Source organism: Homo sapiens, chromosome 13 (assembly GCF_000001405.40).
Source record: "Homo sapiens chromosome 13, GRCh38.p14 Primary Assembly".
Classification (NCBI taxonomy): Eukaryota; Metazoa; Chordata; class Mammalia; order Primates; family Hominidae; genus Homo; species Homo sapiens.
This window is the reverse complement of record NC_000013.11, coordinates 77,254,404-77,272,817: the sequence shown is the minus strand read 5'-3', so window position 1 is coordinate 77,272,817 and position 18,414 is coordinate 77,254,404. Positions and strand designations below refer to the sequence as shown.

The 18,414-nt window shown below is 33.8% G+C and overlaps 1 protein-coding gene across 1 annotated transcript in view; it reads left to right on the top strand.

The window, feature by feature from the left end:
* The window catches only part of MYCBP2 (MYC binding protein 2), a 282,438-nt gene that overhangs the window by 54,277 nt on the left and 209,747 nt on the right, over nt 1-18,414 (top strand). Inside the window, exons 6-14 of the mRNA NM_015057.5 lie at nt 2,280-2,522; nt 2,755-2,826; nt 4,881-4,977; nt 8,816-8,889; nt 9,029-9,167; nt 10,689-10,765; nt 11,443-11,647; nt 12,226-12,390; nt 14,989-15,147. Of these exons, the coding sequence (NP_055872.4) occupies nt 2,280-2,522; nt 2,755-2,826; nt 4,881-4,977; nt 8,816-8,889; nt 9,029-9,167; nt 10,689-10,765; nt 11,443-11,647; nt 12,226-12,390; nt 14,989-15,147 (1,231 nt within the window). The remainder of the gene's footprint in view (nt 1-2,279; nt 2,523-2,754; nt 2,827-4,880; nt 4,978-8,815; nt 8,890-9,028; nt 9,168-10,688; nt 10,766-11,442; nt 11,648-12,225; nt 12,391-14,988; nt 15,148-18,414) is intronic.

Here is an 18,414-nt window from a genome sequence, read left to right as displayed (position 1 = left end):
GTGGAAGGGATGCCTCAATCCTGTTATTAGCAGACCAAAGATAGCAAAAGGAGTATATTGGTCATTTTCTGTCTTATTCAGTGATTTTGAACTCTCCTGGTCAAACAAGACCCATTCCCTTACTCAAGATTTCTGCTCTTTTCTTCCTTTCTGCCTTGCTTGGAATCCTTTTGTCCCTTTTTATGGTCCTTAATTATTTTGAAGTTGCTCTAATACAGTGGTTTTCAAGCTGTGTTCTGTAGACATGCTTTCAGGGTTTGGCAAATGTTTAATTTAAATATATGTTTAAAATATGCAAATATTTTAAAAATTGTAATAAAGTAACACAAACATTCAGATACCATATACCAGATTTTAATAGGATAGTGACCACCAACATATGAGCTTATGAATTTTGATATGATTTGCTTTTATATAGAGACTTAGGAATGCCATTAGAGCTCATAGCAGGAGTATAAGAACTACGTTCATGGAAAGCCTCCCAGAGGATATGAGGTGAGATCTAAACTAATGAGTTGAAATCAGCCAGGAGAAATTTTTGGTGTTGGTGGTGTAGAGAGAGAATGTTCTAGGTATCCACATGCTAAGGCATGGAGGTGAGAGTAAGAGTGAAATATTTGAAAGCTGAAAGAAGTTTAGTATAGCTATAGCATAGAGAGCTGTCAAATAGCGTAGCCACAGCATACAGAGCTGGCAAATAACAGAGACAGGACTCGAGGGCTTATCTGTCTCCAATATTTATGCTCAATCACTAGACAACACAAAACTACTTGATCCTCTGAATCAATAGCTGCAGTTCTCTACAGACCTGCCACATCACCACATCCCCAACTCTAGCCTAAACTCCATATTAAAGCCCATTACCTTAACATGGCTTGCAGTGCTCTTCATGATTTGGCCTTTTATCTACCAACTTCATTTCCCAAAACTCTCCTGGCCTGACTGTTGGTAGAGGGAGAAAAGCTTTCCCTGAGAATGTGTGCATTAAGTCCGTTTTCACGCTGCTGATAGAGATGTACCCGAGACTGGGCAATTTACAAAAGAAAGAGGTTTAATGGATTTATAGTTCCACATGGCTGGAGAAACCTCACAATCATGGTGGAAGGCAAGGAGGAGCAAGTCATGTCTTACGTGGATGGCAGCAGGCAAAGAGAGCTTGTTCAGGGAAATTCCTCTTTATAAAACCATCAGATCTCGTGAGGCTTATTCGCTATCATGAGAACAGCACAGGAAAGACTTGCCCCCATGATCCAGTTACCTCCCACTGGGTCCCTTCCACAACACGTGGGAATTCAAGATGAGATTTGAGTGGGAACACAACCAAACCATATGAGTATGTGTAACTCTTCACATCTCAGATTTGTTTTGGCACCCAAATGCATACTACTTGTCCATTTCATAAAGCTTAACAGAGAGTTTAAAGCAGGGTAGACATGGTAGTACTGCAAGATGCTGTATTGAAAGACACTGAAATCCTTTCTGGAGGGTTGAACTCTTGACTTCAAAGGCTTTCTGCAAATAAAACACTATTTATTGCATTTGAGCTCAGAAACAAATTAATAAAAAAAGCACATGGAAAAAGGCACCATTATTGAGAATTAGCAGAAACAAATATGGTAGAATCAATCCTGCCAAGTCCTTAGATATTGAAATTATTTGATATAGAATGTGTATGTGTATGAATATATAAAGTATGGTTAAAGTAATAAAAGAAAATATCAAAAGTATGATTAAGTAGTGAGAATATAAAAAGTAGTCAGACATTAGGAAAAAAAACAAATCGAACTCCTAGAAATGAAAAACCAAATAATTACAATTAGAAACTTAAAATGGGTTAACTATTGTATAATATGGTTGAAGATGGAAATGGTGAACTGAAAGATAAAGAGGAAGAAATTATCTAGAATGCAACAGAGAGACAAGGAGAGAAATATGGAAGATAAAATAAGAAACATGGATCGAGAATGACAAAATCTAATGTAATACAATCTGAGTTCCACAAGGCAATAATAGATTTGTGGAGATAGAGTACTTGAAATAATGGCTAAGATTTTACAGAATTGGTGAATGACATGGAATCCCAAGAGTAAGGAAGTCTACCTTGCTTGAGATTTGCTTCTTATAGATGAACTTTTAGTTGGTACTTTTTGCTGGCATGCGAAATATCATTCTGAACAATTTATTGTCTTATGAATGATGATGTATTACCAAAGTATCTTTGTTCTGTGTTTGTAACATTTAAAAATGTTTTTTCATTATTTTTCTTCTCTTTTGATTAGGTGCCAACAATTCTAAATTCGCTACAGAGAAGTGTACAAGCAGTTTTGGTGGGAAAAATTCAAATTCAGGACTGGTTTAGTAATGGCATTAAGAAAGCAGCTTTAATGCACAAGTGGCCATTAAAAGAAATATCTGTTGATGAAGATGACCAATGTCTACTTCAGAATGATGGATTTTTTCTTTATCTATTATGCAAGGATGGATTATATAAAATAGGCTCTGGATACAGTGGAACAGTTAGGGTAATGTGATTCCTTACAGTTCCTTAATTATACAGAGTTATAACCATAATGAATTGTGTTCTGTGTGTTTCTAGTTTCATTTCTAGAATATGATCTAATTTTAGTGTAATAATATTTATTTGAAAACCATAATTGAAATACATGCATTAAATGTCATTCACCCATTTGTATTATTTTTCATTGATTATTAATTATGAAACCACTGATATACTAACTTTTGTTTTTTTTGCAGGGCCATATATACAATTCTACATCCCGTATTAGAAACAGAAAAGAAAAAAAGTCTTGGTTAGGGTATGCTCAGGTAAGAAACTATCCACAATAAACCAAAATTTTCTTATCTTTTACAACATGTGATTTGTCCTTGTTTAATCAGTAATATCACTTCTATTTAAACAGAAATGATAATATATTTTTACTAATATGGCCATAATAACTGAATAGTGTAGCGTAAAGAACACTGTCTCAGAACTCATAAGAGGTTCAATTTTAGTTCTGGCCCTGCTTCCTACTAGCTGTATGACTGGACAACTCAGTTAACTTATTGGGTCCTCTGTTATTTAGCTTTAATATGGGATTAAACATACCTTCTTTAGAGTTCTTGTGTAAGTGAGCCTCTAGATAAGAATTGAAGACCACCTTTATCATTAGCACATTTTTTTTTTTAATTGAGACAGAATCTCGCTGTGTCACCCAGGTTAGAGTGGAGTGGCACAGTCTCGGCTCACTGCAACCTCTGCCTCCTGAGTTCAAGTGATTCTTGTGCCTCAGCTTCCTGAGAAGGCCCATGCCACCATGCCTAGCTAATTTTTTTGTATTTTTAGTAGAGACAGGGTTTTGTCATTTTGGCCAGGTTGGTCTCAAACCCCTGACCTGAAGTGAGCCACCCGCCTGGGCCTCCCAGAGTGCTGGGATTACAGGCCTGAGCCACCCCACCCAGCCTCATTAGCACATTTAAATTGGAAATGTATACATGTCCTGAGGCCAAATTAGGGTTTCTTACCACAGACTCTTTCATTTTAGTCTAGATTCAGTACTTTCTAGGAAACAGTGTTTGGCCTACTCAGTAGACAGCTACCTGCATGAAGAATATGCAAAGAATCACAAGAGAGAAAGAAAAGCCCTGGGTTTTTGTGTCTTAATGCTGTGATCTTATCTCCTGACCAACATAGTCAGATAGGTGTTAGCCTTTTACAAGGTCAGCAGCCAGATGGATACATTACTCCTCTTATGGAGAAAAGCAAATGAAGGATGGACAAGAGGGACTAGAAATATTTTTTTCCATACAGTACCTACCTGAACAGTGAAGCCCAAGTTCCTTTGTATAAGGATAAAGAATAAAGATTTCCCTGCATGCCTGCCTTGCTGAGCTTGTGAGATTTGTTGTCAGGATCAAATGATAAAAGATATTTGAAAGTCTTTTGAAAACTATGGAAATTACTATTGTTACATGAAGAATAATTCTACTGTATCACCTATTGGGGAGAATTTGAAATTAAATTTTTTTTTTTTTTTGGAGTTGTAGTTTTGCTCTTGTCGCTGAGGCTGGAATGCAGTGGCGTGATCTCAGCTCACTGCAACCTCCGCCTCCCAGGTTCAGGCGATTCTCTTGCCTCAGCCTCCCGAGTAGCTGGGATTACAGGTGCCCACCACCACGTCCAGCTAATTTTTGTATTTTTAGTAGAGACGGGTTTAACCATGCCGGCCAGGCTTGTCTCGAACTCTTAATCCCAGGTGATCCACCTGCCTCAGCCTCCCAAAGTGCTGGGATTACAGGCGTGAGCCACCGCCCCCAGCCTGAAATTAAATTTTAGATAACAAATTAGTTTCTCAGTAATTGTCTCTTAAAAATTGAACTTAGTTTAAAATATCTCATCAGATTTTTATTTGCCACTCTATTGTGTTTTATCTAAGAAATAATGCCGTGGAAAGTATATTATTATAGCAGTGTGTTCAATGGCATACCACACCTTCTGAAACCACTATGCTATTCATTTTCAAATAGCAAACTCAATACTTGTTATTTTTCTTAAAGTACTTGTTAAAGTAACAGTGATCATTCATATTATTTACTTGGCAAGTGGTATGGTCATTTTGAACAAAATGTTTGTAACTGTACTGTCCTGTTTAGTATACCTAATTATGTTTCTGGGAATATGTTACATCAATTTTCAATAATGTATGACTTTTCCTCTAATTGAGAGGAATGTTCTTATATTTTTAATCATTAATATCTTTTAGACATCAATATTGATGTATTATTGTACCTCAAAAACCTGTAATATGGAGCTGTATGGCTGCTGTTTCTGCTGAATTAGTAATAAATATTTTAACAGGAAAATTTTTTGCTGTTATCAGGGTTATTTATTATATAGAGATGTGAATAACCACAGCATGACAGCCATAAGGATAAGCCCTGAAACACTGGAGCAAGATGGTACTGTGATGTTACCAGGTATGTTTCAAGTAGTCATTTTTTCTCCACAAGCAATTTTAAGAAATGTGCATGTTAAGCTATTTAGACACATAAAGAATGATTAGCAAGGGATAGTGCTTGCTTATAAAAGGGTTTTAAAAATCTTGACATACAAAGCATTTTATAGTCTACGTGAAGTTAATACATATCAAGAGAATAGACATAGAAATATAACAAGTTTTAATATTTGTTTTCAAACTTGGCCGTCTATGGCCTAATCTCTGACCTCACCCCACCACTGCTGAATTAGTGGGGTGATGTAACTGTGTTGCTCTTAATAAAAATCAGAACTCTGGCTCTCATGTGACTCAGTATAAAGAACCTTCTGTTTATTTTTACTTTAACAACAGTGCAGTTGGGTTTTCCTCCTTATTTAATTTAATTTAATTTTATTTAATTTAATTTAATTTTATTTTATTTTATTTTATGTTAAAGGGGTTTCAGAGACAGAGAGTTTAGGGTAGGTCAGGAATTTTTTTTTTTAATTTCATCATTTATGCTTCTTATGCTTCTTAATACTTTGATAAAGGTCTTTGGACACAGTTTATTTTGCTTTAATTTTGAGGCTTTTATATATTCACTTAAATCACTGCTAAATTATCAGGCAGTAGGTCTCCAATTTTGATGAATGCTGGAAAAATGCATATTCTTTATTGTAAGATCTTTGAATTTGTTTATAATGTTGATACTTTCTGAGGCTGTTTATATTAAAATCTTGAGTGTCTAATGTGTCTGTCAATAATTTCATAGTAGCAATATTACTTGTAAGCGTTTGACCATCTGAAAGTGAGAGCTACTTCTGAAGAGTGCATTGAGAAGAATAATTGCTCCTGGGCTGCATGTTTATTTTTAAATATAATCTTAATAATTTCATCAAACATTTATTTGAACCTTACTACATATACATAGATACATATTAGTGTACATGACACTATGTTAAAGTAAATATGACATTTCATGTCCATTTCAGAAATAGAGGAGCTTTGGAAAGCGGATGACTTAATAAAATCATTTTGAAAATAACCATCTATTTTCAGATATGTCTACAGGGTTTTTTTTTTTTTTTTTTTTTTCATTACAAGTCCTGGACCATGTCTTTGGTCATAATAATAATAATAATAATGACAATAATATTAAAAAATACTTTTAATAACATGCACACTCCCCCCACATATTTATACATATATTGAAAGTAATCATGTTTGTTGTATAAAAATCATATGAACAAAAAAGAATGAATTGAAATAATTATAATCCCACTTCCCATATATAAACACTATGAACATATTGGTAAATATCCTTCTCGTATTTTTCCTTTGTGTATATGTCCATACTTGTAAAAAAGTGTGATCATATGCTACATATTGCTTTTTTAATCTATCTCTTTCACTTAATATTCTGAAAATATTTCTAGGTCATTAAATAGTCTTCTACAATGTCACTTAAATGTTACAAAATATATTCCATTGATTAATGTTTGAGAATGAAAGCCTTCCAGGGTTTTGCTATATAAATTACACTGTAATGAGCGTTCCTATCGTGCTGTCTTTGTGCCAGTCATTTTAGGATAATGACATAGAAGAAAAATTCTAAATTGACACATCCCATCCGCTATAACACATGGGTACTAATATCAAGGATTTACTTCTGAGAAACCCTGCACATTTAATAGAGACTGTGACTTATTGATAAGACAATTTGAAAATATGTGCCTACAGCTGTTTTATTTATTCTGCCTTGATAAAAAAATTACTCGTTAATGTCTTTATTCAGTTTAAATCTCGTTGCTTTGTTTAACTTGTGAAATGCAACTTTGAACAATACAAGTGTGGCTTTCTGTGTTTCATAAGTGTGTGCTGTATTAGTGGTGAAGAATGAACCAAACTTCAGGAAGATAGTCCCATATTTGTCTTCAGAACTGGCAGATGTTGCTTGATATATTCCTGAAGATACAAGCTTAAAATATTACATGATGGATAAAGAAAGGATAAAGAGAAAATCTTGAAATCACGTGGCAGAAGACTCCTCCCTCAAGCCTGAAGAAGCCTTTTGTAATTTTCTTGTTTCTTTGACCTGGACTGAATTTTCATCCAATAGCACTTTTTGTTTTTCGTGGGTAGGAATAGCTCTGCTCTGTAGCCTTCCAATCAAGGAGCAGAAGTAAATTGTCAGGTTTATAGATGGTAATGAATACCATGTTTCAAGTTGACATAAATCAGGTAATTCCTTGAGCTTCATGTTCCAGCTTGTCTTACAGTATAGTTTATTTAAAAAGTATTTCAACCTTGTTTTGATGAACTTAAAACATACTTTTTTTATCTGATAATTGTCATTTTATTCTTTAAACCTCGGCTTATCTTACAGATTGTATCTTTATGTCATTTTCTCTCCATGTCTGGTGACAGGTTGCCTCAGTTCATGAGGCTTTTTGCTACTCTTCTTGCGCCGCTTCACTCCTCACCCCTGCGTTTATCTGAAATTATAATGAGTTTTTCTTCTTTGCTTTTTAGTTTAAAATCTTACTGCTTAGAGCTTGAGAAGCATCTTTCTTGCGCCTCTTTGTGTTCTGTACAGTGGACTAGGAACTCTTTCTTTTGATTTCTCCTCTCTTTGATTACCAAGTCTCTTGGGCTACCAGTGGGCCTTGTCTCCCAGTTTCTATTTCCAGTTTGTGATCCCTGAATTCTCTATTTGGTAAGGGTCTGCCTGTGTTTTGCATATTTATGATAAGGAAGTATGCTAGTATGAAGCTCCTGGGCAAAGATAAAGAATAATCCAGCTTATTCGGGTGGGCTCCATTACTGCATTTCAAAATCAGAATTTTATGTTTTGTTGATTCAGGTGCAACTAGAAATGAAATGTTATTTTTTGTTTTGGTATTGTGATTAATGGAGAGATTCATCCTAGTTTTCTGCAGTTATTTTGGGAAGTATGTGTGTGTGTGTGTGTGTGCTTTTAACTTGCTTGCTGAAAATTTGTTTTTCCAAAAGGACAGAATTTATCCTTGATGTTGATTTTGCTTGTAGTTTTGTGTTATTTAGTAGCAATCACTAACACGTGTTCCTGTGGTCCTTCTGTAATACTGGTATCCCTTGTTACAATTGAGCTTGTGCATTATTTTGATCAAAGTATATGGTGTACTATTCTATGGAGATACATGCAGTATTGATGAAATATGGTATTCTAGCCAAGATACATGACTGCTTTGAGATAAAAATAAAAGCATAAGCATATATTTGTCTGCTCTTGTTGGACAAACATTTAAAAAGTTTAGAGCACACTAAATGCTAAAAATGCTGTGAATAAACATTGAATTTTTAAGTGGGAAATGTACAACTGGTTTTGAATATCCATTTTACAAAGCAAGGGATATCTGTAGTTGGACACAATAGATGTCAAATACAGAAGCTTTAGGTCGTATTTTTCTGTGACACTAATGACTGTGATGTATGTCTGAGAGTAGAGTGTTGCCTCCATTGCATGTGATTGTATTGAAATGATTGTAACCAACATTATAGTTTGTTCATCGTGGTGCATGTTTACTGTCAGACTATATCTAATACTAATTCATTTTGAAATTAGGTGGGATCTCAGGTCCTTGGTTATGGAAGATTTATAAATATAAGCAAAAATGTAATAAGTATGATTAGTTGAATTAGTTTCTGCTAATTTATAATTCTTTATTAAAAAGCACAGTCTCCTTTTGAGTTTATCCTTATTGCGTGGAGAACTCTCATTTTGACTTCAACAGAGGAGTAAATTCATTTTGCAAGGTGTTTGCTTGTATTGTAATATAAATACTTTTTCTTTTGCACAGATTGCCACACTGAAGGTCAAAATATTTTATTCACTGATGGAGAATATATTAATCAGATAGCTGCTTCAAGAGATGTAAGTATCCTGAATCTTAAGTAGCTAGTGTAAATGGAATTCCTTTTCCTTAAATTATTTAGCTTTTATTAGATAGACTGTAGAGCCTTGAACGACCTCTTTATGTAATGTAATGCTGTGGATGTTTTATTTTTCTTAGGATGGCTTTGTTGTCAGAATATTTGCCACAAGCACTGAACCTGTTCTACAGCAAGAATTGCAACTTAAACTGGCTAGAAAATGCTTACATGCCTGTGGTATCTCACTATTCGATCTGGAAAAGGACTTGCATATTATAAGTAAGATAGCAAATTAAGTGTTTTCCCTATATTTTAATTTTCAATTTTTCATACTCTTAAAAATGAACATTGTGTTTTCACCAGTTCAGCTTATGTTGTAGCAGCTATTTTGTGTCTGTTACTATTAATATAAAGGATAATTTTGAATTAATATGAATAAATAACTGGGAAACACAGTCTTTAAACAAAGTATGATATTTGAAGACCATTCTAAGGAATTGACTAATAATTTCTCTTTTTTGCTTTGAATAGAGCAAAAGAAAATAAAATTTAATGAGAATTATGGATGGATATTGGTGAATGTCATTAGTTTATATGCTGCATCATTTTTCAACTATTTAAAAATTTGAAAACTTACGTTGTAAATGTTATTACAACAATATACATAGTTCTCTCGTTGAAATTTTTAAAGTTTTTACTTGAATAGATTTTCAAGGTAACTATAGAATGATCTCATAGATTGTCAAAATGGTAATTGGCCTTACACACGGATCAGTAATCTTTCACTTGGATAGAGAAATACAGATAACCACAGAGTATTTCTTGGGCTTAGATTATTTACTTTTGTAATGTTGTAAAAGTAATTAGGATCATGAGTTCTCCTGAGAGTTTTAGTTTTGGCTTGCCATGCCACTCCAGGTTTAATAGTGACCTTCCGTAACTTGTAGGGTTCTTTGCAAGATCCATCTTTTTTGACTGTTATCTCATTACATTTCATAAACTTGGCATTAGTGCTTTACTTTCTATATTCTAATTATGTAGTATTTTTATAATTCTTCCCTAGAAAAATCTTGAATTGAAATTACAGATTTAAAATTTTTAAAGCCCATAAACTAGTTAGTAGTTTGTATAGCTGGACAAAGTCATAAAATGTACCATATGTAAAGCTACAATTACTCATAGTTTTACAATTTGAAAATATGCATAAGGATCTGTGTGTGTATATGCATATTTACATATATATATATTTGAATTGATGGAGTAGCTATATAAGATGTCTTTCTGTAGAAAAAGACATAGGCAGAGAATCTGAAATACTTTAATTCAAATATCTGCATGGCATTGTTCCAAGCTTGAATGACTCTGTGTCTGGACTAACCTCTCCAACCTTTATATATGCTTATTTGTAAACCAAGTGGTATAGTTGTGAGAATCAAATGAGATAAATTTTGTGAATTGTATAATGCCTGGTACCTAATAAACGCTCAATAAAACTTTGAGCATTTATACATTAATTCAAGGAATATTGCTGACATTGAATTTTTAAATTTTTTTGTCGTATATTTAAAAAATTAATTTGGTACTGGTTTGGAACAAGAGAAACAGATTATGATAACTTTATCTTTCCTTGGAGTACTATACCTATGGTTAATATTTTTAAAAATTTGAGCACATGACATTTTGTCATCCTTGTTTTTTAGTGATTTTGAATTGACATTGCAATCACTTAAAATAGTGCATGTTGTATTTAGAATTCTTCATATTAGAAATGCAATAGTATTTATTAGTCTCGTATTTCAGGTACAGGATTTGATGAGGAGTCAGCAATTCTTGGTGCAGGACGAGAGTTTGCGCTAATGAAAACAGCAAATGGAAAGGTAAATTATTCTCTTTGGATTAAAAATGAGCATTCTCTGATTTAAGAGATTAAAATACAATCTGTTGATTAGTTTATATAGTTTGCATGTTTAAGAAGAATCATCTTTTAAATTTTGATTTAAAATTATTTTTTATAAGATAAAATTTTATTCATGTAGGGAACAGTACAGGCATGCCTCATTTTATTGTGCTTAGTTTTGTTACACTTCACAAATAATTGCTCTTTTTACAAATTGAAGGTTTGTGACAACCCTGAGTTGAGCAAGTCTGTTGGCATCATTTTTCTAACCGCCTGTGCTCACTTTGTGTCTCTGTGTCACACTTTGGTAATTCTCGAAATATTTCAGACTTCTTTATTATTATTATATCTGTTATGGTGATCTGTTATCTTTGATGTTACTATTGTAATTATTTTAGGGTGCTGTGAATTGTGCCTATAGAAGACAGGAAACTTAATGGATAAAAGATATGAAAAAGCTATTATGAACTGTGTCTTCTTGGCAAAATATGTGTATTTCTTGCTCAACTCCCAGAAGCTGAATAGTGTAAAAAAGAGTTTGTTTTTATGTGAATTTTATTTTTCAATAAAATATTGATGTCCTTTTTTTTCCTCATGTGAAACCTGATGCACTATTCCAAAAAGTACCATAATTCCTTTTTTTTTTTAATACATAAGATATATTACACTGGCAAATACCAGAGTCTTGGAATCAAACAAGGTGGTCCTTCAGCAGGAAAATGGGTTGAGCTACCAATTACAAAATCTCCAAAGATAGTACACTTCTCAGTTGGACACGATGGCTCTCACGCCCTTTTAGTTGCAGAAGATGGGAGCATATTCTTTACAGGATCTGCTAGTAAAGGAGAAGATGGAGAATCAAGTAAGTTGAGTGATCAACTATGCATTTAATAAAAATAAATGCTTTATTTTAGTAAAAATAAAACTTTATTAAGATAAAGTTTATGAATTTCAATAACACCACACCAACTTTATATATATATCATTGACTTGATGTAACTGCTTAATAAATACATATTGAATGAATGAGGAACTTATTTTACTTTCCAGGATCTAACAAGAATACATGTGAATTACAACTTGGGAAAAAAAGGAGATTTTAGATATGTGTTAGTAGAATGGTATTAATAATGCAATAGCTAATTTAGAGATTGGGCCCTCCAGGAGTTTGGTAGAAAACTAATATTACTCACTGAGAATTTGAATGTACTTCAGGGAATGAGGATCTAGCAATGATAGCGTAAATATTAATTGACCAGATGAGGCTAGCAGGTTCACTGATTTTAAATGACATGTTGGGAAGCCCAGGCCTTTGTGAAAATAAACAAATAGTGTCATAAATGCAAATAATATGGGTTTTTTTTTTAGCTTTATATACAAACCATTATTATTATTATTTGTACATAGAGGTCTTGATTTAATCTAATTTCTTTTTTAAAGCTAAGAGCAGACGGCAATCCAAACCTTATAAACCTAAAAAGATAATTAAGATGGAAGGAAAGATTGTGGTATATACAGCCTGCAATAATGGAAGTAGTTCTGTTATTTCTAAAGATGGAGAACTCTACATGTTTGGAAAAGATGCCATTTACTCTGATAGTTCAAGTAAGTTAATAAAAAGTTTTACTTTTATGCAAAGAAGTTTCAATACTAGTTATGTATGACAAAGACATATCTAGAAAATTTATGTTGGTGGCATGCTTTCTCTACATTTTTTACATTTCCTTCCAAATGTGAAATATTTCGAAAGAGAAATTTTCTGTCATATCTTGTCACTAGGAGCACTGTCCCTAGTTTCATGCAAAGCTAATCATAGAGCTTGGCAAGGGAAGCTTCGCTGTAGCTGTGACTTCTGTGGATGTTTTCCCTAGACTCAGGTGCTTATGGGACATGTCCCTGGGACAGTGGTAGTATCCTGAAGAAGTGATTTTCATGACATAGCTAGTTTATAATTGTTGAAGTATTTTATCTCCCCCATTAGGGTGTTTGGCTGGGATGATCTGTCTTATTTACTATTCTATCCCCAGTGCCCAGCACAGTGTCTGGCACATTGTAGGGTCTCAAGAATTATTTTCTAGTGCCTGGGTGACTGATAAACCAAAAGTTTGAGAAGTGGATATGAGGGGTAGAACTAGCTAAATGGTTTTATATTTATAAATGCTAATCTCAAAAACTTGTCATATTTGGTTACTAGATTTTCTTTCTAGCAGCTAGAAATGAATATAATGAGTGAAGCATCCCACTTGGAAGGATTTTATGTGTGATAAATATGTAAAGCCTTTGAGTTTCTTTGTAAAAAAGGAAACTAGAATTAATGAAGTTTATGATTAGAAATATATGTAATTGTCCCATGCTGGGGAAATTACACCTGTAGAACATTTATAGCAATTAATTATTAAGTGGAGGTGTACCCAGATGATAAGTGAACTGGCTTAATGTTGTAATATTTAGATTCTCAATTGGCTGCAGCTATCAGAGTAAATCAAAATTTGGGAGTGGGTTCTTGTACAGTTTAAAAATAATATTCAATATAATTGTTGCTTGCTAACATCCACTGGGTAGAGCTGATGGAAACTTGTATATTTCTTCAACATATATTTATTGAGCATGGGTGATACATTAGTGATTGATGGACCTGACAGACCTGGATACTGCCTTTTTGAGGATCCGAGAGACAGTTGGGTATTACAGAACTTAAATATTGGGGAAGTGGTATTGAATGGTTATGGACATAGACTGAGATCCTAGCACCAACACTTTTTTTTTTTGAGAGGGAGTCTCACTCTGTCTCCCAGGCTGGAGTGCAGTGGCACAATCTCAGCTTACTGCAACCTCTGCCTCCTAGGTTCCAGCGATTGTCCCACCTCAGCCTCCCAAGTAGCTGAGATTATAGGCACGTGCCACAACACCCAGCTAATTTTTTGTATTTTTTGTATTTTTAGTAGAGACGAGGTTTCACTGTGTTGGCCAGGCTGGTCTCGAACTCCTGACCTCAAGTGATACACTCGCCTCAGCCTCCTCAAGTGCTGGGAATACAGGCGTGAGCCACCGCGCATGGCCCTTGGCACCAACGCTTTTAATTGGGTAACAGTTTACTTAATCTTTAACTGGGTAACAGTTTACTAAACATTTAAGAGTTTTCTTTTTGTTTTTTTCTACCTGCAAAAAATAGATAATGATAGCACCTGCTTCATATAGTTGTTATGAAGATTATAGGAGGTAGAACTTAAGAAATGCTTAGCACATCATGTAAGGTCTCAAAGCATGTCAGCTAGTACTGTTAATAATAATAATAAATAACTACTGTTTTATATATATACACACACCCTTACCTTTTTCAAATGTGCTAAATATTAAAAGTGGAAATTTTTGAGGTATAATTAACAAAAAGACCTAAACTAGTGAAAGGTGAAAGTGAAGGCCACCTTAAGGTAGTGATATCTGAGCTAATAATGTAGAACAGTTTTCCCAAAGCATAATATGAGATTGATACTATTTGTAATTTAAATAAAACAAATACTTGATAACATGTTTTTATTTTAATGTATATTGGAAAAATAATAATCTTTGATTGTTAATGTTAAAGATGCTTCAATCAATTTAGAGTTGATACAAAACATATTAAATAGATAATATGAGTGGCACTTGGATATGACAAATATAATGAAAGTAATACATGAATAAGTGAAGTTTAGAAAATAACTGTGTATTGGATTGTGGAAGAAAGCATTGTAGGTTGAAAAGGATTAAAAAATACTGTTTTGAAAAGTCTCACTGGTTTCTACATAAACAATTTCATGTCAATATACTATGGCAAGTATTTTACTTTGTTTTGCTGAGGCAGGTCAAAGCAGGTAAAATAAATTATTTATGGACTCCTTTGTGCTTAGACCAGAAAAGTTTGAAAGTACTGTGGAGAGGTATTACCATTTGGAGGAAGCATTCAGGAGAAGTAAGCTTGAGAGAAAGCTACAGTAAAGATATGTCCCAAGTCTGGATGATAATGTTTTAGGATTCACTGAAGCTACGTTACAAAGTTACAAAGTTAATTCAGTGATACTCTGCCAGTCTTTTGGCTACTTATTTCTCATTTTGTTGAGTTATTTTGCCCCAGAAATAAACGGTTCTGCATTGAGGTAGTTCTTTTACTAGGCTCAGAAGGGCCTTTTTGTTGTTTTTACTAAATTTGTTTCTTTCCTATAGGTTTGGTAACTGATTTGAAGGGCCATTTTGTAACTCAGGTAGCTATGGGCAAAGCTCACACTTGTGTTTTAATGAAGAATGGAGAGGTGTGGACATTTGGTGTAAATAATAAAGGACAGTGTGGACGAGATACTGGTGCCATGAACCAAGGTGGGAAAGGTAGGTCTTTAATTCTTAGATATTAAAATTTGTGTTGTCTTTTCATTAGTTTTTCAGAACAACATAGTGAAAAGTCTTGTTCTTTTCAAAATGAGTGGCTCTTCTTTTTCTTTTTGTTCCTATTTAAATTTTTTTTAAAAATTTTATGGGTAGATAGTAGGTATATGTATGGGGTACATGAGTTGTTTTGATACAGGCCTACAATGTGTAATAATAATCACAGGGTAAATGGGGTCTCCATCATCTCAAGCATGTATCCTTTCTTTGTGTTATGAGCACTCCAGTTATACTCCCTCAGTTGTTAAAGTATACAAAAAATTATCGCCAACTGTAGCCACCCTGTTGTGCTATCAAATAGTAGATCTCTTGTATCTAATTATATTTTTGTGCCAACTAACCATCCCATTTCCCACCCACTCTCCCTGACTACCCTTCCCAGTCTCTAGTAACCAGCATTGTACTCTCTATCTTCATGAGTTCAATTGTTTTAATTTTTAGCTCCCACAAATGAGTGACAACATGTGAAGTTGGTCTTTCGGTGCCTGGCTTCTTTCACTTAACATAATATCCTCCAGTTACATCCTTGTTGTTGCAAATGATAGGATCTCAGTGTTTTTTATGGTTAAATAGTACTACCTTGTGTTTATATGCCACATTTTCTTTATCCACTCATCTGTTGATGGACACTTAGGTTGCTTCCAAATCTTGGCTATTGTGAATAGTGCTGCAATAAACATGAGAGTGCAGATATCTCTTTGATGTACTAATTTCCTTTCTTTTGGGTATATCCATAGCAGTGGGATTGTTGGATCATATTGAGTTCTAGTTTCAGTTTTTTGGGGAAGCTCCATACTGTTCTCTCCAGAGTGGCTGTACTAAATTTACATTCTCACTAACAGTGTACAAGTGTTCCCTTTTCTCCACATCCTCTCCAACATTTGTTATTGCCTGTCTTTTGGATAAAAGCCACGTTAACTGGGGAGAGATGGTATCTCAGTGTAGTTTTGATTTGCATTTCTCTGATGATCCATGATGTTGAGCACCTTTTCATATACCTGTTTGCTATTCATATGTCTACTTTTGAAAAATGTCTATTCAGAACTTTTTCACATTTTTTAATTGGATTTGAGTGGCTCTTTGACGTTATATTTGTGAATTAGGAAAACCACTGAATTTCTTATTTATTTGATAATATTTACTGATAAAATATCACTGGAAAAACAAATACACTTTAGATTTTTTATTTTTGAGCAAATGTGCTGGCTTACTCCAATCATCTTCTAAATTCTACATAAAATAGTGCTTCTTTGGCTTAGCATCTTTGATGACTGCATTACTCCAGAAAAGTCTTTTCCAAACATTTTTTTATTAGCTGCTGTTACACGACATGTTTTAAATTTTAACCATTTTTGGCAGCAATCTTTCTGGCGTATATTATCTTCCCATTTAACAGCACATGCTACCTGTAATTTAACCTGTTCTTGACAACTAAGAGTGATCCTTATGAATATCTGACACTTTACCAAGAAAAGACTAAATTGTAGACACACCTTCTTCACAATATCCTTTGCTCCAACCCTCAGGCCATTGAAGAGAACAAAGGGCTTTCTCCTTTGATTGCCCTGTTTGCTGTGGTCTTGTTTTGTTGTTGTGGTTGTAAATAGCATGTCTACTTCTTGCCCTCAATTTTTATATCTAGCTGCTATCGTTATGTTTATAACTTTCACTCCAATTTCTGATTTTGGTCAAGAGATTAAACCATACATATATATTATTAGAACTAAGCGTTGAACTTTGGTTAAAGTACCAATAATTTCGAGGATTAATGCTGTATAAATTAACAAAACCTGGTTTTTCTGTTTTGAGGCTTTGATGTCAGACTCATCTGGATCTCAGAAACCCACCATTCTTTGTCTTTGCCTTATTCGTGTGTCTGTGTGTGTATTTAAAATGCATCACTTTAAAAATGAGCAAGTTACTAGAATATATTGGCAAATGAAGAAGGAACAAAAGAAAGAAAAGAAATGGATTACTTCACAATGGAAATACTTTGATTTATTACTAAATTAGTGAACTTGTTTTGGATAATAACTGCTAGGACAAAGGGGAGAATCGGGTTTTTTTAATATATAATATGAATATATATTCAGATTATGTTTTATAAGAAGTCTGAACTAAACAACATTGTTTCCTTATTCTGAAACTCTTGTGAAAATTGAGCGTACATTTACACCTATGTTCTAGATTCTTCAGTGACATTTTGTAATAATCAAAGTAAAATTGTTAAAAGATTTTTTTAATAAGAATCATACCTACCCTGCTGGTAAGTAATGAATTAGAAAGCAGATGAGTAAAGTAAGACACATACAGTGCATACTGATTGCAGAGTCATAACAGATGCTGGGGAGAATGTGGAGAAAGGGGAATGCTCATACTTGGCTAGTGGAAATGTAAATTAGTACAGCAACTATGGAAAACATAGATTTTTCATTCGTATGAAGGTGACTCAAAAAACTGAAAATGGAGCTGCCACATGATCTAGCAATTCCACTTCTGGGTATATGTATCAAAAAGAAAGGAAATCTGTATGTCAGAGAGATGCCTGCATTCTCAGGTTTATCATAGCCATATCCACAACACCAAGATATGGAATCAACTTAAGTATCCATCAACAGATGAATGAGTAAAGAAAATGTGGTACATACACAATAGAATATTATTCATCCCTAAAAAAGAATGAAATATTGTTATTTGCAGAAACATGGATAGAACTGAAGGACATGATGTTAACTGCAATAAAATAAACCAGGGACAGAGACAAATATCACTCATATATGGGAACTAAAAAATTGATTTCATGGAGATAGTAAATAGAATAGTGATTACCAGAGACTTGTAAGGATAGTGGGAGGGGGAGAGGAAGAGTGGTTGGTTAATAGGTACAAAAATACAGTTAGAGAGAAGGAATAAGTTCTAATGTTCAGGAGCAGAGTAGGGTGAATGTCGTTAACAACAATATATTGTGTATTTCAAAATAGCTAGAAGAGAGAATTTAGAATATCCCAGTTATCTTGACTTGATCCCAGTTACCCAGATTTGATCATTAGACATTATATGCATGTATGAAAACTCACATATATGCCATAAATAGGTATAACAGTTATGTATCAATTTAAAACGAACGTAAAGGAATATTTTAAAAGTTTATTTAAACCAGGAAAGTACAGAACATATTGAAATATTAAAAAATTGTGTCTCTACCATGTC